At 56.7% G+C, this 25595-nt stretch overlaps 1 protein-coding gene across 35 annotated transcripts in view, besides 3 other annotated features; it reads right to left on the bottom strand.

Moving 5' to 3' along the window:
- The window catches only part of PTPRF (protein tyrosine phosphatase receptor type F), a 101616-nt gene that overhangs the window by 6433 nt on the left and 69588 nt on the right, over positions 1 to 25595 (bottom strand). For 8 of the 35 annotated variants that reach the window (XM_011541873.3, XM_011541871.4, XM_011541872.4 and 5 more), the window contains 15 exons: positions 25286 to 25422; positions 24633 to 24777; positions 19181 to 19486; positions 18321 to 18514; positions 15137 to 15163; positions 13701 to 13818; positions 13045 to 13623; positions 12234 to 12331; positions 11791 to 12044; positions 11612 to 11705; positions 10776 to 10994; positions 10266 to 10420; positions 7736 to 7851; positions 4434 to 4466; positions 3519 to 3616 (listed from right to left, as the gene is read on the bottom strand). In XM_011541873.3, the coding sequence (XP_011540175.1) occupies positions 3519 to 3616; positions 4434 to 4466; positions 7736 to 7851; positions 10266 to 10420; positions 10776 to 10994; positions 11612 to 11705; positions 11791 to 12044; positions 12234 to 12331; positions 13045 to 13623; positions 13701 to 13818; positions 15137 to 15163; positions 18321 to 18514; positions 19181 to 19486; positions 24633 to 24777; positions 25286 to 25422 (2573 nt within the window). Of the gene's footprint in view, positions 1 to 3518; positions 3617 to 4433; positions 4467 to 7735; positions 7852 to 8898; positions 8911 to 10265; positions 10421 to 10775; positions 10995 to 11611; positions 11706 to 11790; positions 12045 to 12233; positions 12332 to 13044; positions 13624 to 13700; positions 13819 to 15136; positions 15164 to 18320; positions 18515 to 19180; positions 19487 to 24632; positions 24778 to 25285; positions 25423 to 25595 lie in introns of all 35 variants that reach the window. The other 27 variants (XM_006710797.4, NM_002840.5, XM_047426483.1 and 24 more) reach the window with 14 other exon arrangements.
- Positions 18469 to 18970: an enhancer, noted in NCBI's record as "H3K4me1 hESC enhancer chr1:44063935-44064436 (GRCh37/hg19 assembly coordinates)". NCBI's record gives its function as "activates a minimal SCP1, AML or CMV promoter by ChIP-STARR-seq in primed H9 embryonic stem cells {active_cell/tissue: H9 hESC(primed)}" and the evidence as "EXISTENCE:reporter gene assay evidence [ECO:0000049][PMID:30033119]".
- Positions 20620 to 21120: an enhancer, noted in NCBI's record as "H3K4me1 hESC enhancer chr1:44061785-44062285 (GRCh37/hg19 assembly coordinates)". NCBI's record gives its function as "activates a minimal SCP1, AML or CMV promoter by ChIP-STARR-seq in primed H9 embryonic stem cells {active_cell/tissue: H9 hESC(primed)}" and the evidence as "EXISTENCE:reporter gene assay evidence [ECO:0000049][PMID:30033119]".
- Positions 21121 to 21621: an enhancer, noted in NCBI's record as "H3K4me1 hESC enhancer chr1:44061284-44061784 (GRCh37/hg19 assembly coordinates)". NCBI's record gives its function as "activates a minimal SCP1, AML or CMV promoter by ChIP-STARR-seq in naive H9 embryonic stem cells {active_cell/tissue: H9 hESC(naive)}" and the evidence as "EXISTENCE:reporter gene assay evidence [ECO:0000049][PMID:30033119]".

Here is a 25595-nt window from a genome sequence, read left to right as displayed (position 1 = left end):
ATGGTACCAAATCCCCTTGCCTGGTAGAGTGGTCTGAGCTGGGATGGGGCAGGTGAAGGGTCTCTCGAAGCCCTGCACTCACCTAATGAAATGAGCTAGGACAGGTGGTGGCCCCCTCTCAGGCAGTCCCGAAACTGCTGAGGGCTCTGAACACCCAGAGTCCCTCCCGAAGCCCTGCATTCACCTAATGAAATGAGCCAGGACAGATGGAAGGGATGGTGGCCCCTCTCAGGTAGTCCAGGATCCCTCCCTGCTCGGCTCTCTTCCTTTCAGCTGCTCCTTCTCTGTTTCCTCTCTCTCCCCTGCCCTTCCCGTGGGCAGGACGCAGAGCTCCTCCAGGGTTCCTTCTAGGCCCTCTTCTCTCTCTACAACCTTTCCTGGGTGACCTCATTTGCTCACCTGATTCTTACACCACATGCTGGAGCTGCCCATAACCTCAGCAGCAGCACAGAGCTCTTCCCCGAGTACCCAGCAGCCTCTCTGACACCTCCACCGGGAGGTCCTTCAACCGCAGTCCTTTCAAAGCTGAGTTCATCAGCTTCCCCTCCAAACCTGGCGCTGCTGCTGGGACTACACCTTAGCGAAAGGCACCCTCACCCCTCAGTGCCAGGCCAGAACCTAGAAGTCAAGCTCAAAATTCCTCCGGCCTCCACCAACCCCGCCCTGCCAGTCACCAGGTTCTGGTGCTCCCCCACCCCCTCAGCTCTCTCCAACCTGCTGCCACTGCCCTGGGCCAGGCCACCCCAATTGAGGCTCAGCCTCTTCCTGCCTCTTTCCTCTTGTCCCACTCTGACCCACTCAGCCCCACAGCCAGAATAATCCTTCCAAAATGCAGATGTGAATATCAATTTCCTGCTTAAAGGCCTTCTGTGGCTCTTCTTCACCTCGGAGAGCAATAATGATAATAGCGAAGCGTTAGTGAGGACCCACAGTGTGCCTGGCACCGCTGTGAGCACTTTGCATGTATTCCCTCCTCAAATTCTCATACGAGATAGGTTCCATTATTATCTTCACATTTTCCAGATGGATACTATCTGAAGTTCTCAGCATAGCACGCAATGTCCTCCATATGTTGTCCCCAGCCTCATTACTCTCCACAGGACCGCGTCACTGCTTCCGTGAGACCCCGCAGCACACCCCACACCTCAGGCTGCTCTGGTGCTGTCAGCCCACCTTTTGCACGCCTGTCGGTACTATTCAACACCAGGGCATGCTGTCAGAGTCACATATTCAATGCTGATTATCTGTCTGCACATGCTCCCCACGACTGGGTTCCCTGAGGGCATGTGTCTCCACATCCCCAGCACGGGGACTGGCACATGGAAAATGTGTGATCAATGACTGACTGAACGTTAAAGACAACAGAGCAGGCCTGGTGCAGTGGCTCACGCCTGTAATCCCAGCACTTGGGAGGCCAAGGTGGGCGGATCACGAGGTCAGGAGATCGAGACCATCCTGGCTAACACGGTGAAACCCCATCTCTACTAAAAATAAAAAAAATTAGCCGGGTGTGGTAGCGGGCACCTGTAGTCCCAGCTACTCGGGAGGCTGAGGCAGGAGAATGGCGTGAACCCAGGAGGCAGAGCTTGCACTGAGCCGAGATCACGCCACTGCACTCCAGCCTGGATGACGGAGCGAGACTTCCAAAAAAGAAAAAAAAAAAAAAAAAAAAAAAAAAAAAAGACAACAGAGCTATGGGGTCCTGGCTGAGGGAGAGCCCACGGCAGCCTTGGGGAGCCTGAGAAGGCTTCCTGGAGGAGGAGGGTCTTGTAAGGAAAGCTCTGATCAGAGGAGGGAAGCAGGTAGAAGATGGAAGGGGACTACTGTGAACAGAGGCCCCACGAGCCCAGATGGGGAAGCAGGGCTGCGCTGGAAGGAAGGGCAGGTGTAGGACATGGTACAGATGAGTGTGGGTGGAGGCCATGGGAGGCAGGGAGCCCACCTTACGGGCTCCGTGACCCAAAGCCCAGCCTTGTGTGGAGCAGGGCCCCAGGGGGGCCCTATAGGCAGAGGCAGCACGGTTGCTGTGCCGCAGACATACTCATCCATTTGCCTGCCAAGCCCAGCTTTCTCTTCAGAAACCTGGCCCACAGCCCTTGGGAAAGGCAATCTTTGAGCCCTAGGATGCATCCCCCAAACACAGCTGAGGGTGGACATCAGAAGGGGCGCAAACTCACAGGTTAGGCTCAGCCAACCCCTCAATTGCCTGTCCACCAACCATCTACTGAGGCCAGTGCCAGGTGCTGAGGAAACAGCTGTGGACAAGGCAGAACGACAAGCACAGGCTGCTGCTTGGAGGAGGTGGAAGAGGAGGAGGTCTCTCTCTCTCTTTTTTAAGTAAAAATACTCTTTTTTAAGAGTTTTTTTTATTTTATATTTTTTGAGAGGGAGTCTCACTCTGTCACCCAGGCTGGAGCGCAATGGCATGACCTTGGCTCAACGCAACCTCCGCCTCCCGGGTTCAAACGATTCTCCTGCCTCAGCCCTCACAAATAGCTGGGACTACAGGCATGTGCCACCACAGCTGGCTAATTTTTGTATTTATAGTAGAGATGCAGTTTCGCCACGGTGGCCAGGCTGGTCTCAAACTCTCGACCTCAGGTGATCCACCCGCCTCGGCCTCCCAAAGTGCTGGGATTACAGGCGTGAGCGACTGCGCCTGGCCAGGAGTCTTGTCTTTAAATCACCTCCTTCTCTAACAAATCCCCTTCCTAGATGGGCAGCCTGGGGATGCTCAGAGTCACCCCGACACCATCTGTGGGTGGGAAACCCTCAGACTCTTGAAGGCTCAGCCCCCAGCAGGCTCCTAGGAGTTAAGTCCAGAACAAGATGAACGTGTGGAGGGCTCCAAGCGGGACTTGTACAGCCTGAGCAGCCAGTCTCGAGGCCCCGACTCCCCGTGAGCTGTGGCATCGGAGTACACACGTGAGCACATGCATGTGCAGAGCACAGGGCAGCAGGCAGGCCTGGGTTTGAATCCTGGCTCCACTACTCATCAGCTGTTTGACTTGGGCAAGTCACTTCCCCTCTCTGAGCCCCCGCTTCCTCACCTGGAAGATGGGATAATAACAGTCCCCATTTCTGAAGACTGTGGGGGAACCAAAAGAGATAATGCATGCCAAGTGCCCAGACCGGTGCTGGCCTGCAGGATGCTCTTGATAGATGCCAGCTACTGTGGCTGTTATCACTGATCTATGTCTGTATGCCTGTGGCCTTGTGTCTGCCTGTGAGCACTTGAGCACGTGTCTGAGTGTCCAGACCCTGGTGTCACTCACAGCCTTTTGAAACCATCTCCTAAGGGTGACCCCAAGAAGGTGCTGGGCCAGGCTATGGCCAGACCCAGCATCTGAGGCACCCGGTTCCCAGCTGACCCTTACCACTGCCAACCCTCCTCTCTGTGCTCCTGAAAAAGCTGGACCCCTGCTTCCTCACCCACCACAGCTGGGACCTAGGACAGGACAGGAGCTGGTTTGGGTAGGCCTGGGCCAGGCACATGGTAGGGGGCGGGAACATCTCACCTCATACTCCTGGGAGAACTTGAGGCCATCGTTGGCTTTGAGGCGCTCGATGTTGTCCGCCAGGTCGGTGATGGGGATGGGTGGGTGGTCTCGCATACCTAGGGGAGGTAGGGCATACACAGGCAGCATTAGTGTGAGGCTTGAGCAGTGTGGCAGAGAAAGCCCCAACGCATGTATGTGCACATGTGAACATGTGTGACCATGGAGCACTTGGAACTGGTGGCATGGAGACAGCAGCACATGCGGCGACAGGGATGGCGGAGGGTGGGAGAGGACAGAGGGCGGTGTTGTGCCATGAGCATGTGGAGCCTGTTTTGGTGGCGGGGTGCTGAGTGGGGGCACTAGGCCCTGCCTGGCAGGTCTCTCAAGATGGAAGAGAGGCTTCCTTCCTCCCAGGAGGGGTGGGACGCCCAGGTCGGTGGCAGCAGACGTGACAGGAGCTGGGCTCCATCGCATCTGCCTGCAGACAGCCCTCCTGCCCCTCACCGGTGGCAGTCACCATGGGAGACTCACAGCCATCGTCATCCCGGGCACCAAGTGTGTAGATGGAGTGGTCATGAAGTACAGACACAATAGAGAGAGAAGCAGAGACCAGGAGGGGGGTGTGAGACAGAGGAGAGGAGATGAGAGGTAGAGGCACGCAGAAGGAAGGGTGTCAGGCCGGGACTGGAGGCCAGAGAGGCAGAACAGAGACGGGGCCGGTGGGAGAGAAAACAGGCCTGGAGGAAGCAAGGTGGGCAGAGGGGAGGGTAGGGAAGGAAAAAGGTTAGGAGACAGTGGGATTGGGGGAGAAGAAAGGGAAGGGGAGAGAAGAATTCAAGGAAGGATGGAGGCGATGGGGTAAACAAAAGTAAGGAGTGGAAACAGACACAGAAGCCAAAGTATCCCCCAAACACGGGAACTTTGAAAACTAACTTGAGGTATTCGGGCAACTGGGGACACTGGAACCTGCAGAGAAAAAAACAAACAAACAAACGAAAAAAACAACGGGGCAAGAAAAGAAAGCCCGTTAACTTTTTCTGCTTACAGCACCATCACACACAGTGGAGGTGCCGAGCGGGCTTGCGAGGGGCTGGCGGAGAAGAGGAGGGGGCGGTGAGGGGCTGGGGCTGCGGACAAGTTCCGTCAAGGCTCCTTCTGTCTCCCAGTTAATACAGACTGGGTGTCCCACCCCCAGAGGCGAGCACTTCTAAACCCTGGTGGCTCGGCAGCCTTGGGGGGCTCTATGACTAAATACTTAAGTCCAAACCAGCCCTGCCCCTTTTGATACCAAAATTTGCCCTTGGCGATTTTCAGATGATTTCCACGTTGGAAAAAAGAGCCCTCCTTCTCAGATCCCACACCCTCTACTCTCCCACTGTGCCCTGCTCATTGCCTCCTTCCCAGGTATCTTCCCAGGATCTTTGAAAGGGGTTTCTCCACTTTCTCAGCCCCCACTTGCCACGCTGCTCACTGCAACACTTCTGCCCACAGGACGTGGCCACCACCCTCTCTTCAAGGCCCCATCTGCCAAAGCCAACGGTCCTCCCACTGGGTGTCCCCACTGCCCTACCTCATTAAGTCCTCTCGTCCCTTGCACAACTCCCCCAACCCTGGCATCAGGGACACTGCGCTCCTGCTCTCGTCTGGCTGTGGCTGCTCCTTCTCAATCTCCCTAGCTGCTCTCCATCCATCTTTCCTTAATGCTGCACCACCTTCCCTGCCCTGGGCTTTTTGGTCCCGGTCTCCTTCTGGCCCTCACCCTGGGAGAGCCCATCTATTCTCAGGCTTTGACTACCACATGCTCCTTGGCCCCTCCCACAGGGCTTCAGCCCTGATGTCAGCTCAGAAGTCCTCAGACCCACAGACCCACCAGCCCCAGGACACCCCTACCCCCTGCTCATTCAGCCAGCAACTGCAGAGCCACCCTTACCTCTCCCCAAGTGGGCTTAAGCCCGGACTCTGCTGTCCTCACCTCCTTCACGTTTCCCAAGTCTGTCCCCTCTGTTCCCACTGCCACCTTTCACTTGGTTGCTGGCCTTTTAAATGGTCTCCCTGCCTCAATTTCTCCTCTCTAATCCAGTCTCCTCAAGGAGCCAGAGTGACATTTCTAAAGCATGGTTCTGACCACCTGGCTCCCCCGCTGAAAACCTTTAATACCTACCTCCCTGGCATCCTGAAGAGGAAGTCTAAGCCCCTTAGCCTGACATTCAAGGTCCTTTTGACTGGACCTCTGCCTAGCCCTCCAGTCTTCTCTTGGCTCAGTATTCCCCAAGCCCCTAACTCTCATGCTGCAGAAACCCTCAGGTGCTCATAATTTGACGCACATGCAATCTGCCCAAGCTTCTGCACATGCTTCCACTGAGGAGCTCTCTCCCATCCTTCTTTTCCAGACCAATAACCACATGGCTCAGCATCCCATCCCCGAAGAGGCTTCTCTGCACTCCAGGTCCCAGCATCCTGGTGCTTGATTCTTCAGAGATCTAATCATGCTGGGTTGCAACAGCCTGCTAGGTCTGCCTGGCACACTCTCCAGACACATGCTCATGAAACTCAGTCACCATGTTGTGAGGAAGCCCAGGCCACCTGAAGAAGCCTCATGTTGGGTGTCCCAGCTGACAGCCACAGCAAGGCTCAGAGCTGGCTCATCAACCACCAGTCACATGGATGAAAGAGGCTTTAGAGTCCAGGGGTTGGCAAACTTGGTATCCATAACAGGCCAGAGCGTAAATAGTTTAGGCTTTGTGGACATCTGGTATCTACTGCATCTATTTAATGGTGCCTTTACAGTGCAAAAGCAACCATAGGTAGGTAGCATATAAATAAATGGGTGTGTCTGTTCCAGTAGAATTTTATTTATTTGTTTATTTTTGAGATGGGGTTTTGCTCTTGTCACCCAGGCTGGAATGCGATGGTACGATCTTGGCTCACGCAACCTCTACCTCCTGGGTTCAAGTGATTCTCCTGCCTCAGCCTCCTGAGTAGCTGGGATGACAGGGGCCACACACCTGGCTAATTTTTGTACTTTTAGTAGAGATGGGATTTCATTAGCTGGTCTCGAACTCCTGACCTCAGGTGATCCACCCGGCTCAGCCTCCCAAAGTGCTGGGATCACAGGCATGAGCCACCACGCCCAGCCAGTAAAAATTTATTTACAAAAACAGGTGGTGGGCTGTACTTGGCCACGGGCCATAGTCTGCCAACCCCTGCTTTAAATGACTCTAGCTCCCAGCCTTCAAGTCTTCCGGCTGAGGGCCCAGACTTTCTGGAATAAAGACAAGCTGTTCCTGCTGTGCCCCTGTCTGAATTCCTGCCTCACAAAAACTGTGACAGATAATACATAATTATTGTTGTTTTAAGCCACTAAGTTTTGGGGTAATTTGACATGCAGAATAACCAGCTCATACATACACAAACCCTGTGTGTATGCATTAGTTCACTCATTCCTTCATTTGTCTGTGTGTTCATTTCACAGGCATTCAACAAGAACCCATCGTGCGCTGAATACAAGGGATGGGGGATGACAAGACACAGTTCCTGGCACCACAGAGCTCAGAGACTGTCACTGAGGTAATCCCAGCTCACTGTGAGAGGCGTCAAAAGGAAGAAGGAGGGAGGTTCCTGGAGCCAAGAAGAGACACCTAACCCTGTGGGGGTGTGGGCAAGAGGAGAGGTCTGAGCTGTGTCTGCTGGGTGTTGGGAGGAGTAACATTTCAGGTAGAAGGAAGAGGTGGACAGCCCCATGAGAGTGGCTAGGAGAAGGGGCAGGTACGTGGTATGGTAAACCTGGGGTCGGCCTCCAGGAAGGCTCAGGTGCAGGCACTTCATCTCCCCACAGATGTCTGGTGAGGCATCTCCCACTGCTAACATGCCCCTCTTTCATGTGGAGGCGTCAGAGCGTGCGCCAGACACTGGCCACCCTGTGGCAGAGACGTGGGCTCTGGGAGGTCCTCAGCCCATATTCAGAGGCCTTGACTGAAGACAAGGCAGTGGCTAAGTGGCTTTGCCACCTAAGAGGGTCCTGGCCTGGGGCACCTGTCCAGCTGCAGGATATGGGGGCTCCCCAGTCATTCCAACCAAAGTGGATGAGCACAGGGAGAAGGGCAGAAAGGAAGAAAAGGAGCAGGAACAAGTGCATGCGGCCCAGGAACTTCAGTGGCGACCCTGAGACCTGCAGAACAGACCCACAGGCCTGCTAGGTCTGGGCTGGGGGCACACAGGCCATAGGAGTGCCCTACCTGGGGTCTGGTAGTTGAGCCTCCGCATCTCCACAGGGTCAGAGGAGTGGGCCAGCAAGGAGTCCTTCAGTCCGATCGACTGCTCATCCTTAGAGGACGGAGAGTGGGTCCTTTTCCTAGAGAGACAGAAGGGAGGCTGGTGAGAACCTGAGGTCCAGGCTGAGACAGTGACACATGGCATGGCTGGCTGCCAAGGAGCCCCCATGTCCACGGCTCTGTCCTCCTACTGCCCCACCTCTTCCCAGGATCTCTGAGCGCGGAGGAGCCAGGGCCAGAACAGCCTTGACATGAGAGAACACAGGGCAGGGAGGGGGTAGGGAGAGCAGGAGTGTGGCGTGAGCAGAGGGGCAGTGCAGCAGGGAGGAAGGGGTTGCAGGGGCGAGCAGCTCCTTTGGATAGAAGGCAGGTCACTGCAGGACAGTGACTGCTATCTCCAAGGCCACCCAGCTGAGTAGCAGGAACCACCGGGAACAAACATGCAAATGACACATAAAATACACAAACAGCACAGGAGACAGGGCCCCAGCTTTTTGGCCCTCAGAGTATCAGGGTAAATGCCCAGGGCAGCAGGGGAGGGACGGGAAAGGCGTCACCCTAGCTGGGCAGAGTCCTCTCTCACTGGCCTCAGTTTTCCCATCTACAAGGACAGGGTCAGAGACAGACCATAGGATTCAGCTGCCAACAAATAGCCAGAGGCTACTTGTGGTCTGCAGACGCATGTGCTTCGGAAAGAAGAATTTGAGTGAGTGTGCTCAGGTGGGTACAAGGACATGCCTCTCTGCTGTTCCACACAGTGACTGCTCTTTGCTCTGTGCGAGACTGTCTCTCGCAGCACTTAGGCAACTTCTCAGAGAACTGGGAGCCGGGTGATGGTTCTGGTGAGCTCTGTACGCTCAGGGAAAGCAATGCAGTCTGTATTATGTATGTGCCCCAGAGAAGAAGCATCCTCTGCAGAGTTGAACTGGCAAGAGTGAGACAGAAACTGCCTCCTCACACCAATGAGGACTCAGTCCTGAACCAGGGAGCCTGCTGAGCTGACTGGACAGTTTGCTGCTTAAAGCCATAGGCCAGGGGACTTCTGGTCAAAGCGTCATCCCTCCCTGCTGGCCCAAGGATTAGAAGTAGAGGGGGAGGTGTGTGAAGAGAGAAGGAACAACTCCTACCTTTCTTGTTTACTAGGTCCCGAAAGACAAGCAAGGACAGAAGAAAGGAACGGTCACAGTTTCCACCAAGCACTCAGCCCTCTAATGACATGGGGACCCTGCAGGCCCCTTATATGGCACCCACATGACATTCACAGGGAGGGGGTCTACCTCTCTGGACAGACCCAGAATGCAGGTGGAAGTGGGAAGGATGAGTGCATCTGTGGGACACTCCTTAGGGACCCGCCCACAGGTCCATCCACCCTGGGAGGAAGGAGTGGACTCTTTAGGAAGGAACAGTGGGTCCAGGGTAGGCACACAGGATACAGGCTCTCCTGCATGGTGCAGAGATGTGCTCAGACACACAGACTAGCATATCTTCATCTGCCAGGTGCTCACTGACATGCCTGTGGGCTCAGCCCAGTGCTGGGGGCTGAAGGCTTGGCACACAGGCCCAGCTGCGTTTGCAGTGGAGCATCACAGGGGACAGCTGTGCAAGGAAGGGGTAGGGGCCAGGCAAGGCCTTGCAGGCACCAGAGCATGGACTTGAGTCCTGAACGATGAGATTGCTGTTGCCAAGTGGGCAGGGGGAGGGAGATCCGCAGAGGGCACACCCTGTGTGGGCCTGAACACTGAATGAGTTCAGTGTCGCAATGTCAGGAGTGTGGCAGGGGTCAGATTAGCCAGGTGTTTGGCTGTCAGGCTAAAGAGGGTGGGCTTTACGTGGGCAGCCATCAAAAGGTTTTAAACTGAGAGTGACAAAGTTAAATCTTTGGAAATCCCTTTCAGGCTGGAAGGTGCACGGATAGGAAGGGAGACTCCTAGGGCAGGTGGTGGCCACTGCCGATAGAGAACTGAGTGGGAAAGACACACTGAGGCTGAGGCCGCTGCGGATGGCACGGGCACAGCAGGCCATCAGTCATGTCTGTTAGTGAGCATCCATGGCCTGTGGGCCTCCAGCTCGACCTCTCTAGGCCTAAGCAGGAGAGTAGGGCTGGGGAATCATCCAGGAATGGTGGCAGAAGGAAAGGACTCGAGGTAGGAGCTCAGGAGATGGCGGTGTCTTAAAACTGAAGAGGAGACAGACGCACTCTTATCCACAGAAACACAGAGACAGACAGACGTGCCAGGGATGCACATGAGACAACCCTCTGAGGCTTTAGTTCCTCACGCCCAGGCTGCTGCAGAGGCTCCCTCACCTGACAGATGCAGGCCTGCAGACACAGGTAGGCACACACACTGCTCCTGCCCTTCCTGCCTTCCTGCTGAGCCTGAGGCTCAGGGTCCAGGATGCAAGGCTGCACGCTCTCCACAGGCACCACACCCGGAGAGGGCCTGAAAGGCGAGGGGCAGGTGGCCGTTCCCGGAGCTCTGAGGGCAGTGCTCACCTTTTGAACAAGAGGATGGCGATGACAATGAGGATGATGAGGATGACTGCCAGCACGGGACCCGTCACCCACAGCATCTCCGGCTCCTCCTGCTGCTGGGCTGGTGTCACCTGGACCACGATCTCATCCGAGTAGGGGCTGGAGGCATAGCGCTTCTGTGGCCCGGTGGAGAACAGCAGGCTGTGAGCTCAGCGTGAGAACCCCCCACCCTCTGCCTATTAATCCTGGAGAAAGGGCTCTGGGTCTGGGTTACCCTGGGCCTGGTCTCCCAGACCCTACAAGGTGGACCTGGCAGGACTGGGTCCCTGGAGCCACATTAGGTCTGGCCTCTGGGTCCCAGGGCCGCGTCTTAGGATCCCCGGGACAGATCTTGGGTCTTTAGTGCTGCCCCAGGATCTCGAAGCCCCCAAACTGATAAAGACCTGGGGTCTTGTGGTGTTTGAGACTGGCATCGTCTCAGGCCAGGCCCAGGGAATCAGGGTGCTGACAGCCAAGCCGGCTCAGGCAGACCTGGTCCATGGGTTCCTTCAAGGAGGCAAGCACAAAGCACTGGTAGCTCAAGTCCGGAGACAGGGGCCGGTTGTAGAAGCCCCGGTAGTTCTTCTTGTCCCCCAAGGTAAAGGTCTCCGGGAGCACATCCAGTTGAGCAGCCACATATGGCTTCAGACGTTCTGCCTGCCGCCGCCGCCGCCGCTGCTCCTCTCCGCCTTGCTCGATGGCTTCTAGAAGCTGGCAGAGCAGAGCATGGGGGTCATGAGGGGCCTTGGAGCATGCCGGCCAGCCCTGAGGCTGTGGCCTGGGATGTCAGCTCCCTGGGCCGAGATCAAGGCTCACCTTCCGTGTCAGAGCCCACACCTGCCCAACCCACTGCCCCTACAGAGTAACAGACACCGTGAAGCCACTCCTCCCCACCAGCCCATGAGAAGCAGCCCTGTGTGTAAGCTGCCCCACCCTAACCAGGCTGTTGCCACACTGGCTATGAGAAAGGACTGAAGGATTTCAAACATTCAGGGACTCCTGGCTATAAGGCTCACTAAGCCCTCCATAGCTTCTAGATCTGCGAGGCTCTGCAGTGTCTACAGGGCTTGGCATTCTCTAGACCTGCAGAGGCATCTCCACGACATCCCACCCCAGGGATTCTTCGTAAGCCCTCCGGGAGTTCTGTGAATACTCCCAGATGGTTTCCTCAGAGTCCCTCTCTCCAGAGAGGGGCGGGCTGCCAGCCAGAAGAGAGATTTCAATTTGGGGAGTGAATCTGAGAGTCACTGGGACAGTGCTCAGGGCAGGAAGGCCACAGCTGACCACTGCAATGGGGCTGTCAGTGTCCCCATCCCCTCCCCAGGTACCTCGTCCAGCTCCAGTTCCTCGGGTGTGCTCCACCTTGGCGTCAGCATGCTCCCGCCCACACGGTCAATGGGCACCACAACAATGTAGAACCACCTGGGTGGGCAGGGCAGGAATCAGGACTGTCACTGCTGGTTACCTCCAGCCCTGCCCCGCCTCCCCCGATACCTCGTGTGCACACCTGACAAGCGAGGGGTCTTGCACATGGGGCATGGAGAGATCGAAGCGGCCGTCCTCTATGTAGGCAGAGGCAGGCAGCGGCTTGTGAGGCAGGAGGTCGGGGGCTGTGCGGATGGACACCAGGTGCTGCAGGCCCCCTGCGCTGCTGCCACGGTTCATCAGCACAAACGAGTACTCTGTGTTGGGCTGCAGGTCTGCGATCAGCTTCCGCATCGAGTGCCCGTCCACCTCCACACTCTGCCCATTGTACAGAATCTGTGGGGGACGGGAGGGGCAATCAATGCCTTTGGGTGAGGTTCCCTACCACGGGCTGCAAGGCACAGTGCACGGATACACAACCACATTCCTGCTCCACAGCCGGATGCACATGGGTTAGGACTGGAAAGACAGCACCCAGCAGGCCTGTGTGTGTGCCAGGCTCAGCTGGCCGTGGCCCTTACTCACCTTAAAGGGCACAGCTGACTTATAGGAGTCGGGAACCTCCCAGCTGAGCAGCACAGACGTCTTCATTGCAGCCGCCACCCGGAAGTTCTTGGCAAACACTGCAAAGGCATAGAGAGAGTCAGCTCTGCTGGGTATATGAGGTGGGGTGAATGGGCTGGAAGGGTGGAAGGTGAATGGCCAGGATGAGACACTGGTTGGGGAACAGGGGGTTGAAGGATGGCTGCAGAGTACCAAGCGCCCCACTCCCAGCCAGCTTCAAACGGCACAGTTGAACTCCCAGCCCAAGCTCTTCCACAGTGAGCACCAAACAGGGCGGGGGATGCCACAGCAACCAGGGTCAGAATCTCCAGAAACGCGAGTGTAAAAGCTTGAGCCGATGGACACCAGGCCAGAGTGATCAGAGGGTCAGTGGGTTTCGGTCATGAGAAGCATGTGGCCACACACCAGAGCGTGGTGGAGCATGTTCACTAGAGGTCGGTGGGTCATGGCCCCAAGAGATTAGTGTCACACACCAAAGATCAGGAGGTTGCACACCCAAGAATAGTGACACAGTCAAAAGAGATCAGTGGGTCAAGGTCACAAGAGATCAGAAGGTCATACAGCAGAGGTCAGTAGGTTAAGGACAGCAGAGGTCAGGCATCAAGAATGTGGTGCCCATTCACTAGAGGTTAGTGGTCACAGTCATGAGAGATTGGAGGTCACACACCAGAGGCTGGTGGATCACAGTCGCCAGAGGTCAGTGGCTCAAGGAGAGCAGAGACCCCCAGATGCAGCCACACTCGGGAAGGGATGCCATGTCCACAGCACACACCTTGCTCCACCGGCATGGTCCGGGACTGGATGCTGGGGCTGAGTGGGCCAGAGCCTTTGCTGGTCCATGCGCGGACCTTGATGTCGTAAGTGGTGTCTGGCTTGAGGCCAGTAAGGGTAAAGCGGGTGTCTGTCGTGATGTTCTGCAGCTCCTGTTGGCTGTTGATGTCTCGGAACACCACGGTGTAGCTGATGATGCGCCCGTTCCTCTCCGCCAGCACTGGCGGGTCCCAGGCCAGTTCTGTGGTAGACGTGGTCAGTCCTGTCACATGCAGGTTTTGGGGGAAGCCGCTGGGCAGGTCCTCGGGGGTCCTGATCTCCTTCTCGAACTCCTCACCCAAGCCAGCCCGGTTCTTGGCAGCAAGCCGGAAGATGTAGGTGGTCCCCTTGTGCAGGCCGGTGACTGTGAAGTGCTGGTCATCCTTGCCGAAATCTATGGTGTTGGGCCGCGCCTCGTCGGCCCGGCAGTACTGCAGCCGGTAGCCCAGCAGCTCGCCAGGCAGTTCCTTGGGTGGGTGCCACTGGAGCAGCGCAGTGTTCATGGCCGTGGTGCTGATCATCATGGTGGGCCGGCCTGGGACTGAAGGACCACGGGCTGGGCTCTGGCGCTGCCCTCCTGCTGCCCCACCCTCAGGTCCGTCCTGACCCCTCACTCACCTGCACCTGTTGTAGTGACAATTTTGGGCTTGCTGCGGGCACCATCCCCCTTGGTGGTATAGGCAGCAACAGTAACGGAGTAGGTGGTCTCCGGGGTCAGGCCGCTGATAGTGGTTTCCTGAGGGAGGAGGAGGGGTTCGTTCCCATCACAAGAATGCAGGGAGAGGCCAGACCTTGTCAGGGACCTCAGGACCCTAGCCTGAGGGGAGCCCCGGGGCACACAAGGCCAGGGGTTGTGGAAGGTGGGGCTATACAATGGTGGCCTCTGCTGGAGAGGAAGCAGGCAGGTAGGATGCAGGCCTGGGAGGACCCCGCCCATCCCAGGAGCCGCACGCCTGGGGCAGACAGCTCATTATTCTTTTCAGACAAGAACAAAGGGCCAGACTGTTTCCCTCACTCCACTGTGCTGTGAACGGAGACTGAGGATATCAACAGGGCACAGCCTCGCACGCACCCAGCACCTTGCGTGGCTCTTGGCAGCCACACGCACACAGCCTACAGCTCCTGCATAAGCAGGCGTAAGGCTGCCTGTGGACACCAGTGCATGCATGCACAGACAGAGCAAGGTGGCAGGATGGGCTAAGGTGCCATCCTATAGGACCCAGTCAGGACTCCGCTGCCCCCATATAGGCCACTAACTCTGTGAATGTCTATACCCTGCAATACCTCTTGAGAAAGGCAGGGGAGGGGCTAGGAGAATAAGAAAACCTCCACACCTGGGGAACTGGCTTCCACATCTGTTCTCAGTGATGCCTGAGACAGCAGCCAGGGCAATGTCCTCCCCGCTTGGCAGACCCTGCCCATATACCCATCTGCAGCAAAGGCATCATCTCTGGACATGCGGAGAAACACCATGGGAGGTCAAGCCACACCACACAGAGAGAAGAGTGGGAAGCAGGGCAGGGACCACCGTGCAGTGGGAACAGAGCCGTCATCAACCCTGGTATCCCTCCAGCTCTGGCCTTGAGTGGGGCCCCTGCAGCTGCCACCACCCCCTCATGGACCCCTCCTGCCACAGCTGGAGGGTCTCCCAGGGCTGGGGCTCCAGAATGCACCAATGCCAGAATCCGACTCTCCAGACAGCCCTCCCAGCCTGGGCCCTAAAGCAGGTGATTTTTCACTCCAGGGATCAATAAGGCCTAACGATCAGGATTGGATTTAACTCCATCCCTGTCTGGCCGGGGCAGGGGCCAGGCCCTGGTCGATCATGAACACTGGCCTCAAATTGCTGCTCGACAGGCAAGAAGTAAGGATTAGAGGAAATGCCAATCGCTGCTCAGCTCAGTGCTTGTGTCTAAACGCCAATTTTCTCCTGATGTGGCTAGAGCCCTGTGGATCTTGGCAGTGCAGGCTAGCAGGAAAGGAGGGAGAGGAGGAGCGTCCCACGAGCCCAGCTTGACCCATGTCTTGTCCGCGTTCGCACACCTGTTACTTACATAGTCCTCGGACTCCTCTGGCCGCCACTGACCGCGGGAGAGGGAGAGAAAGGGAGACAGGATGGTGAAGGACTCTGACCTGGAGAGGGCCTGGCCTGGAAGGGACCTTGCCCAGGGAGGACAGAGGGAGGGCTTTTGGGCCTCAAAGTACCCATGGGGGTAGCACCCCAGAACAACTCCCGGTTCAAAGATTTGAATCCCTGCCTCACTGAGCACCAACTGGGTGTGCCAGGGCTGAGGAGGGTAGGGAGACAGGGAGGGCAGGCAGCCTGCAGGGAGAGGACCCGCTGACAGAAGGCCCTAAGAACACAAAGCAGCTACAGATGCTCTGACAATTTTGGGCTTGCTGGGAGGGAGAGGCTGCCAGACAAGAAGGGTGGGTTCAACAGCTCAGGCCAAGGGAAAGGAAGACACTGAGGGGTGAATGGGGTGCCCATATGCCCTGGTTTGCCTCGGACAGTCCTGGCCTGTGCTTGTTGCCATGGAATTGACTATTCAGTGTCTCCTTCCACCCGCCAAAGCATCCCAGATGTGATCATACATTACACAATCACCCCAGGCATGAGAAGTGTCCCACAACAGTAAGAGTTGGGGGTGAACAGGGCACATGGCCAGGGTGGGCCCAAGGGCAAGCCAGTCAGCAAGACTATGAAGGCTGTGAGTGCCAAGCTCAGAGCCTGGGCTGTAGCCCACAGGCACGGGAAATCACCTATACCCGTTCCTTCCTCGGGGTGTCTGAGGATTAAGGTAGGAAGGAATGTTTCGGGGCTGGCAGTGTTGCGGGCCTTTGGTGCATGTAGATATTCTAGATGGACAGGTGGAGGGACTGTGAGGTCTCCATTCTGAGGCCCCATGAAACATCACAGGGAGATGGTCCAGGATGTCTCCAAGCCGGAAGTACCTGGGGTCCTCCAGCCCAAGCACCCCCACAGTGCCGGTCTGGCCTCTGTCCACTGGCCTCCATGCTGGGTGGCCTAAGTTCCTCCTGTCCTGGGACACTCTGTTGGAAAGTCCTTGCAAGAAGCATGGAACAGAATATGAGAGGAGACTCTGGACAGGTCCTTAGTGCATGGCCACTTTATAGGGTGTGGCTGGGCCCACGTCCCTTCCAGTCTCCTTGCCTGCGGGGAGACCTGGGCTGTCCCAACCAAGCCTTGGCGTGGAGGTTCTCACATCACATGGACCCTGTCCTGCGCTAGAGGCAGAGCAAGAAAGAAGGGAAGGACGGAGGATGAAACCAAATGGAGATGAAGGAAAGGGGTCAGAGGAATGGCAGGGGGAGGAGGGAAGGAAGGAGGAGAGAGAAGAGAAAGAGCAAGACAAAAACAGAGACTCCAAGAAGGAGAGAGAAATGCAGGCCACGAGAGGGGAAAAAGGGAGGCAGGGAGATGGAATCTGACGTAAAAGGAGACAGGTCTGGCTCCACACTTCCAGGCTGGGGGTGGGAACCTGCACCACATAGTTCCTTCAGGCATGATGGGGGATGAGCTGAGGGGATGGTGCTGTTGCGTGAAGGACAGAATGTGCCGCCCTTGACAGAAGCACAGGGACAGCTGGGCCCTGTGGCCACGCTCGGGACCAGGCCCCACTGCTCTCCCACTGGCGAGGAACAGAATGACCCAGTCCTGAGAGGGCTACGGAGCAGGCCTCCATCTTCAGTGTCCTCCGGGAGCCCAGACTCGAGTTACCGCCCCCATGATGGGATGTCTGAGACTAAATGGGCAGCGTCCCTGAGCCTCTGGCCCAGCTCCCTTCCGAACCTCTTGGGACCAGAAGGGGGCACTTGAAGTGGCTTCTCTGGAACCCCACTGGCCACAGCTGTGGCCACTGGCCCCCTCAGAGAGGAGGGGCTAGGGGAACCCATTCCTGGGATGTTTCTGGGTAGGTGTGTTCACTGAGGCTCCACAAGGAGCCCTCAACCTGCCCCAGGAATGCAGGTGGGTGCACATGCCTGCCTCCTCCACCCCGGATGCCTTAGCACTGGGCAGGCTGAGAGGGGGAAGAGAGCACCCTCTGGGCAGAAAGAATTTTGCTTCAGATGGCTGAGCCCAGCTGGAGGAATAAGGCTCCTGTCTGTGTGGGTGACCCCACCCCTCTGCACAGTGTGTACAGCATTGAGTGGTACACGCACCCCTGCTCTCCACCCAGGCAGAGGTGAGAGGCTCAATGGGGAGGCCCTGCTCCTGGATAGGGAGACCTTGAGAGCACCACACCAGGTGTTGTGACTCTCCAGCAGGGTCTTTTGGGAGGGGGCTCATGACAGCAACTGTGGCCCTTTCCTAGGGGTCCACAGACATGGCTTCTCATCCAAGCGCAGCAGCCACCTACTTGCTGAATAATTCCATACCACTCTCATAACCCCCCAGCATTCCAAGTTCTTCATCTGAATAGCAACCAGTGTTCAGAATACCCCAGGGACCTCACCCCAAGCTCAAGGGCAGGACCATCCTCCCAGGAAGACAGATGTGCACAGAGGGAGGTGTGAGGCTGGCCAGCAGGCCTAGCTCTTGAGGGTGAACATCAGGGGCTGAATCGTTCCCTGCAGGGCCAGGAGCAGGGCAACACTCTACTTGGCTACTCACAGAGCTTTGCAGCAACCACGGACCCATGGCCGCCAGTGGGGTAAGACAGCCCTGGAGCACTCTCTCTACCCTTTCTGTGGGAAGAGTGGATGCCAGCCCAGCACTGTCTAGGGGAAAGGCACATCTCAAAACCCCGACCTGGTGGGGCACAGTGGCTAACACCTGTATTCTCAGCACTCTGGGAGACTGAGGCAGGCGGATCACCTGAGGTCAGGAGTTCGAGACCAGCCTGGCCAATATGGTGAAACCCTGTCTCTACTAAAAATACGAAAATTGGCTAGGCGCAGTGGCAGACGCCTGTAATCCCAGCTACTCGGGAGGCTGAGGAAGGAGAATTGCTTGAACCCAGGAGGCACTCCAGCCTAGGCGACAAGAGTGAAGCTCTATCTCAAAACAAACAAACAAACAAAAAACCCACACCCAAAAAACCCCAGCCTAACCCCTGATGCTGCAAAGCATCTCGGGTCTCACAACCAAGGAAAGGCAGTCACAGCACTGCTGAGGGCAGGCAGGGGAAGAGGGACATATCTGGGCCCCAAAAGGGAGCTTGTGCATGCTGGTCTGTGCTCACCCTGCCACCCCACCACCACCCAATGCTGCACCTGGGCCTCGGCTAGCATGACGTCTTGGATGATGGGGAGTCCACGGGGCTCGCCATTCTCCAGCCGCACGTAGGTGACCTGGTAGCCGCGGATCTGGCCATGCTGCTTGCTGGGGACAGGCAGCTTCCAGTAGACATGCACAGCAGTGGAGTTCAGTGGCTCCACCTCCACCTTCCGCGGAGGCCCGCTGGGCACTGGGGGGTCAGGTAGAGAAGGAAGTCAGGCCTGGAGGTATCAACCCTAGCTCAGGTGGGCACAGCAAACTTGAGGGTCCTGCCTCAGCACCCCACTCCCCCAGGAAAGGCCCTGATACAGTTTCCTTAGATCATCTGTCCCTGGTGAGGCACACGGAAGGCTCCCTCTGCCCGCCACGGGTAAGAGCCCAGGACTGGCCCTGCCCACCCCTCTGGCCCAGGCCTCTCACTTGGTGGGGAGGGTCGACATGGGGGAACAGGTGGAGGTGGGGCACCAGGTCTTTGACCACCCCTAGTCAGCACAACCTGTCCTGACTCCTCCTAGGCCCCAATCATGCCAATGTCCAGCCAACGTGGAGTCTTGCTGATTCTACTTTGAGTATCTTTTACACCAATCTGCCCAATCTTGACCTTTCAAATCTTAGACAGGGCTGCTTCTCCCATCTTAGCCTGTGAAGGTTTCAGCTGCTTTGGAGACAGCCCCAAAGGCTGGGATTTGGGCCTCAGTTATCCCGTAAGTGACATCCCCCCACTTTAGGCCATTACACCTGAACCAGAAAGATGAGTTGACCTGGGCCTGTGTTCAGGAAAGGAAGGCCCTGGGGAGCTTGGTGGGTGGTGTCTGAGGCAGAACGCCTCCCCTCCCGCCCCGGTGGCACTGCCTACCGTCCTCATCGGTGCGCACCAGCACCGGGCTGCTCTCGGGGCCGGGGCCCACGTCTGTGTGTGCCCGCACCCACACCCGGTACTCCGTCCACTTCTCCAGGCCCACCAGGTCCCAGCTGGAGTGCTCACGGCTGATGCCATCCACCACATGCCGCCCGCGGTCCTCGCCGTCCACCGCCTCGTAGGCCACGGAGTACTGGGTGATAACGCCGTTGCGGCTGTCGGCAGGCGGCGGGACCCAACTTACCCGGACCGTGGTGGAGCCCATGCTCACACACATCACCTTCTGGGGAGGGGCGGAGGGGGCTGGGGAAGACAAATGGGGGGGAAGCAAGCAGATGGAGGGTGGGGATCACAGGCACAATGACTGAGTCACAGTGGACTGGAGACTCACCCGGGCAGGCTACCCCTTAGGTGCTGAAATGGCCATCCCAGGGTCCCTCCAGGCAGGCTGCTGCCACTCTCGCCAAGGACACCTGACTCCCTCTGACCTGCCTCCCTCTCTCTCCTTCCCTCTCTCACACACACACACGGTGATACACACACAGTTATCACACACACTGACTCTCACACAGCCTCACACACAGTGTCAGTCTCAGTGCCTCACACACGTCTCACACAGTCACACGCTGTGTCACACACACAGGGTGTCTCATACATATACTGTCTTGGTGTCTCACAGTGTCTCTCACAGTGTCACACACATACATAGTGTCACATATACATAGTGTCTCACACATAGTCTCCACATATAGTGTCATATACAGTGTCACACATATACAGTGTCATATAGTGTTTCACACACACAGTCTCACACATATACAGTGTCATATACACTGTCTCATACGGTCTCACACATATACAGTGTCACATACACATAGTGTCTCACAGTCTCACGTATACATAGTGTCATATACACAGTGTCTCACACGTGTCTCTCACACAGTCTCTCACAGTAAATACACAGTCTCTCATGGTGTCTCACACACACACTGTCACATACATAGGCTGTCTCGCACATATACTGTCTTGGTGTCTCACAGTGTCACACACACACAATGTCTTGGAGTATCAGTGTCTCTCACACAGACTCACATATACACAGAGTATCACATACCCGTGTCTTGGTGTCTCACACATGGCATCTGACACACACTCTCACACACAATGTCTTAGAGTTCTGACACAGCATCTCTCACACGAGGTCTCTCCCACACATATGCTGTCTCACACAAAACATACACGATATCACATACACACAAGCACGTGGCCATCCCACTGCCACCCGCACACACAGCCACATATGGAGAACTGCTTCACATCTGCTGTGCCCACGGTTCTGCTCTTCCGAGGAAGAGTGGCCCCAGTGGCCCTTTTGGCATAAGGCAGCCTTCACCTGTGCCTGCCTGGAAACAGTCTCTTTGCCAGTGCCACAGGTAATCACCAACAGGAGGCCGAACATGAAGGCCAACAGCCCCTGGCGTGGAGAAAAAGTACCCACCAACAGAGGTGCCCTCACTCAACAGCTTCTTTGGGAATTAGGAGGCAGACACGTGTCTCCTTGTGTCCAGTGATGTGTCCAGACTCCACGCCCACCGAGGACTCTGCTGCAATGCACAGGTTTCCTCTTCAAGTTCTGTCACCACCCCCTGCCATGGGGACTTCAGCAGCCCCTTGACCCACTGGCCCCAGAGCCCCTCATCTCCAGGACTTTCTCCTCCCCTGCACAGCTGTGGTCATGCCCTGGAGGCTGCCAGTACTGGGGATGGCCCTCCCTCCAGAATCACGGGCTCTCACATCCCCTTGCAGACCCCACCCCCTTGTTCTTGCTCAGTCACTCCAGGCCCCGGGCACTGAGCCTGCTCGCCAGCTCCTCAGGATGCCTGTCCATCAACCTTGTCCTTCCCACCCTCCATGTTCAGCTTCCACGGTCTACCACCTACCACACTCTCACCAATATCGCAAGGTCCCTCGCCTCCTGATCTTTCCATGCTCCTTCCTGGCCGCTGCCAAGCCCTAGATGAATCCAGCTCTCCCCCTCCTTCTCTACAGCGGCACTGAGGCAGGCTGGCGTCCTATGCACACGTCCCTAGAGGCCTCATCCTCCAGGACTCTCCATGCTGCCTGTTTCTGCCCCCTGCCTGGCTCGCTCTGCCACCTCACATGAAACAGTCCCCCTCCTCCATGCTCCCCAGACCTCCAGCTCCCTTTGCCTGCCTCCTCTTGGCGCATGACCATGTCTCCCACACTGCAGAGAAGACCAGGCTTTCACAGCAGCTCCCTCCATCTCTTGCTACAACCCCCCCACCGTACTTGCATCTGCAGCAATTCTCTCCTTTCCACCCATGAGAATGGAGAGTTGAGCCACCCTGTCCAAGGCTAAGCTCTCTCACCACCCATACTGTTCCCCTTCTCTCCACCTCCCAAGGCTCCACCAGTTACCCTCTTTTCCACGGTTTCTTTTTTTCCTATTGACTGTTTCCAATAGCATTTAAATATGCTTGAAATTTTCCCATCTTAAAAGAAAAATCCCAGGCCGGGCGCGGTGGCTCACGCCTGTAATCCCAGCACCTTGGGAGGTCGAGGCGGGCGGATCACGAGGTCAGGAGATCCAGACCACCCTGGCTAACACGGTGAAACACTGTCTCTACTAAAATTACAAAAAAAAAATTAGCTGGGTGTGGTGGCGGGCACGCCTATAAACCCAGCTACTCGGGAGGCTGAGGCAGGAGAATCACCTGAACCCAGGAGGTGGACGGAGGTTGCAGTGAGCCAAGATCATGCCACTGCACTCCAGCCTGGGAGACAGAGCAACACTTTGTCTCAAAAAAACAAAAACAAAACAAAACAAAACAAAACAAAATCCCACCCTCAGCTCCACGGCCCTCTCTAGCCATAGTGGTCCCCTTGTTCAGAGCTACACTTTCTGGCAACGTCTAGGCTTGCTGCCTCCACATTCTCAGCACCCACACAGGCCTCATGAAACATCCACCAGCTTTGGTCCTACCATGCACCAAGCTTCATCTCCAGGGCCACTCGTCCATGTTGCTCGGTCCAACAGGTACTCCTGACCGCTCAGCAGCATCTCGTCTAGTTCTTGAAACTTTCTCTCCTTCCAACCTCCAAGTCGCTCCCCTCCCCTGATTTCCTCTCATCTGCAGTCTTTCTTCTCAGGGTCCTTTAGCTCCAGCCCAGCCCTGGATTCCCACAGCCTGCCGAGCACTGCCATGTAGATGGCACACGGCATCTTGAACTTGGGTGTCTGAGACCAGCTGTAGTTTTCACACCTGCCTCTGCCCCATTTCCCATTCTACGCCAGCACCACTCTCCTCCCAGGTTAATACACCAGAAACAAGATTCACCTCCACTTCCCTCCCCCTGGGCCCCTATTCATAACCCATTACCAAGTCTGACCAGTCAGCATCCCTGACAGTTCTCAGATCCACCGCCATCACCTCACCTGCGCCACCATCTTTTCCCTGGACCGCTACAAAGCCTCCTAACCGGTCTCTGCTTCCTCACAGGCTGCCCTGTCCATTCTCACAGAGCAGCCAGAGTCAGCTCTCCTGCCTACCCTGTGTCCCCAAGGCCCTGACTGCCATAGATCCGGCAGCTACTGCAGCCACACTGGCCTGCTGCTTACCTTGTGACCATAACCATGTGCCTTGCAGCTGGAAGGCCTTCAGGCCTGCAGACTCTCCCGGAGGCCTGTGTGCTCCCTGCTCCTGTTCATTTACCAGTTGGCTCCCACCCTTCCTTCAGGCCTTGGGGAGGTGACACTTTCCCAAGGCCTGAAGGAAGGGTGGGAGCCAACTGGTAAATGAACAGGAGCAGGGTACATGTGCATGTACCAGTGATGTCAAGAGGCTGTGTGTGACCTTGTATTCATGGATTCATTCCAGAAGCACCTGCTGTGCTGCAGCTGGGGGCCAGGCCCCATGCACGGTACAGGGCTGGCAGCATGACCAGACACATGGTGTCTGCCCATGGGGATCCTGCATTCCAGCAGGGCAGACAGACATTGCACCTGTAATTACCCAAATGAGCTTTTTTATTTTATTTATTTTTCAAGACGGAGTTTTGCTCGTCACCCAGGCTGCAGTACAATGGCACCATCTCGGCTCACTGCAACCTCTGCCTGCTGGGGTCAAGTGATTCTCCTGCCTCAGCCTCCCGAGTATGTGGGATTGCAGGCAACCACCACCACGCCTGGCTAATTTTTGTATTTTTAGTAAAGACAAAGTTTCACCATGTTGGCCAGGCTGGTCTCTAACTCCTGACCTCAGGTGATCCGCCCACCTTGGCCTCCCCAAAGTGCTGGGATTACAGGTGTGAGCCACCGTGCCTGGCCTCCAAATGAGCTTTTAATGACATTTGTGTAAAGTAGGATGGAAGAGCCAGGCACGGTGGCTTACCTTGTGACCATAACCCACTTCATAAGGACCACTTCAGACACCGCCATGTTTCTGGTCATCACATGGCCACATCAGATGTGGTCACCATCTCAATCCCACAATGCTACCCAGCCAGTCACATCCATGACACCCTATCACACAGAGTCTCACGCAGCAGCTGACTGTGGCTGTGTGACCACACACAGGACGCCCAGCAGCAACCACAGAGTCACACACACACACAGTCTACTGTCTGGGGGGCTACCGAGACCCACAAATACGGTTACAGGATCAGGCCAGAGTCGCCCACAAAGACAAGGGTCATGCCCAAGATCCACTGATGCACATACACAGGTGCTGCACAGCCAGCTGGTCAGGTGTGGTCACACACTCACACTCATGGGCAGTGCCACTCCCACAGCTGCAGCATCGGAGTCTCTCACACACAACACCAGAGTCTCACACAGACAGCCTTGCAGACAGTCCCCTGCACGGCCACGTGGTCACAATTCAAGGCACACGTGGGCAGGCTGGGTCACATGGCCGCATTCTCAGACCTGTCCCCGAGTGCAGTCAGCTCAGGGTGATCACATGGCTCTCAGGTAACTTTCATGGGGAGTATGAGGAAGGGAATGTGGGTGATGGGGAGACGAGATGCGGGGCCATAGGGAGGAGAAACAGCCGCCAAAGCAGGTCTGGGACATGGCAGACCCACCGAGGATGGCCCATCAGCTAAGCTAGTGTGACCAGCACAGAGTGGGGGCGGAGATGAGGCACAGACACAGAACTTACCTGGGCAGTGTGTGGGGCATGGGCGGGAGGAGGGGCAGGAGGCTGGGCAGGGAGCAGGGAGGGCAGCAGCCGCCTGGACTGGACAGACTGGGAGGCACTTACCTGGCCCTCTCCCGAGGCCCAGACTCAGAGCCCAGGCCAGAGTTCGGTTTGGCCAGCAGACCTGACCACCCCACCTGCCTGGTCGAGGGGGAAGGATGTGTGTGCATGTGTGTGTGTGTGTCCCAGCCCAGGTGTAACAGGCAGCGGACTTGGGAGACACTTACTGGACTGGGCTGTGCGGGCCTCAATGGTGGGGGTGAAGACGCCCACCCCCATATCCGAGCGTGCAGCCAGCTGGAAGCGGTAGAGTGTGTCAGGCTTCAGGTCCTCTAGTGTGTAGGAGGAGGTTGGGTCGAAGGTCACCTTGTGCTGGGAAGAGCAGGGAGCACTCACTGACAGCTCTGAGCTCAAAGTCACTCACAGGTTGTTCCCCAACATGGGCTGCAATGTGACACCTCTGGACCCACCACGGCTCCAGGACTGGCTCCACACCATAAGGCCACATGGAGCACAAAAGGAACTCAGGGCTTAGCCCATGCCACAGACACCTCACAGACCACATGGACCACAGGAGCCATCTGGGACGCATGGCTTCTGGGGAAACTTCAGGGCTCTGCCAGTCATATGAGCCACAGAGCCTAGGAAACCCAAGGCAGACCCTGGGGACTTTGCCCCTAGCACAGGGTGACAATGACTCCAGATTCATACAGGCTGTGCGGGCCACATGACACGCATGCACCACTAAGCCTCCAGCAGAAACCTTAGAGGCTGTGCCCACATAAGCCACAGAATCCAGAAAATACCCTCCTGGGTTAAGCCCATCACAGACCCTCAGGGACCAGGAGACCCCCTCAGTGCTTCTCTGCCCGCTGCACACCTGTTGGTCTTCGTCCTCTGCCGCCCAGTACACCAGTTCATACATGATGATCCGCTCCTGAGGGGGCAGCAGCCACGAGAGCTGGATCCTGGTGTCCGACTCCACCTCGGCCTGGAAGTCCGCGGGCTGGGCAGGCACTGCAACACCCCACACCAGGCAGGTCAGCCTCATCTGCGTGAGGTCAGGGGTGCCCAGGGAGGAGGGAGCCGAGGAAGTCAGGTCCTAACCTCACACCCTTATCCTACATCCCAACTGACCACACATCTATGGAATACGGCACCTTGATCCTCCCAAGAGCCCCCAGCCTCAC

The sequence above is a fragment of the Homo sapiens genome, chromosome 1 (assembly GCF_000001405.40).
Source record: "Homo sapiens chromosome 1, GRCh38.p14 Primary Assembly".
Classification (NCBI taxonomy): Eukaryota; Metazoa; Chordata; class Mammalia; order Primates; family Hominidae; genus Homo; species Homo sapiens.
Note: the sequence above shows the minus strand (reverse complement) of the source record. Positions and strands in the feature narration are given on the sequence as shown.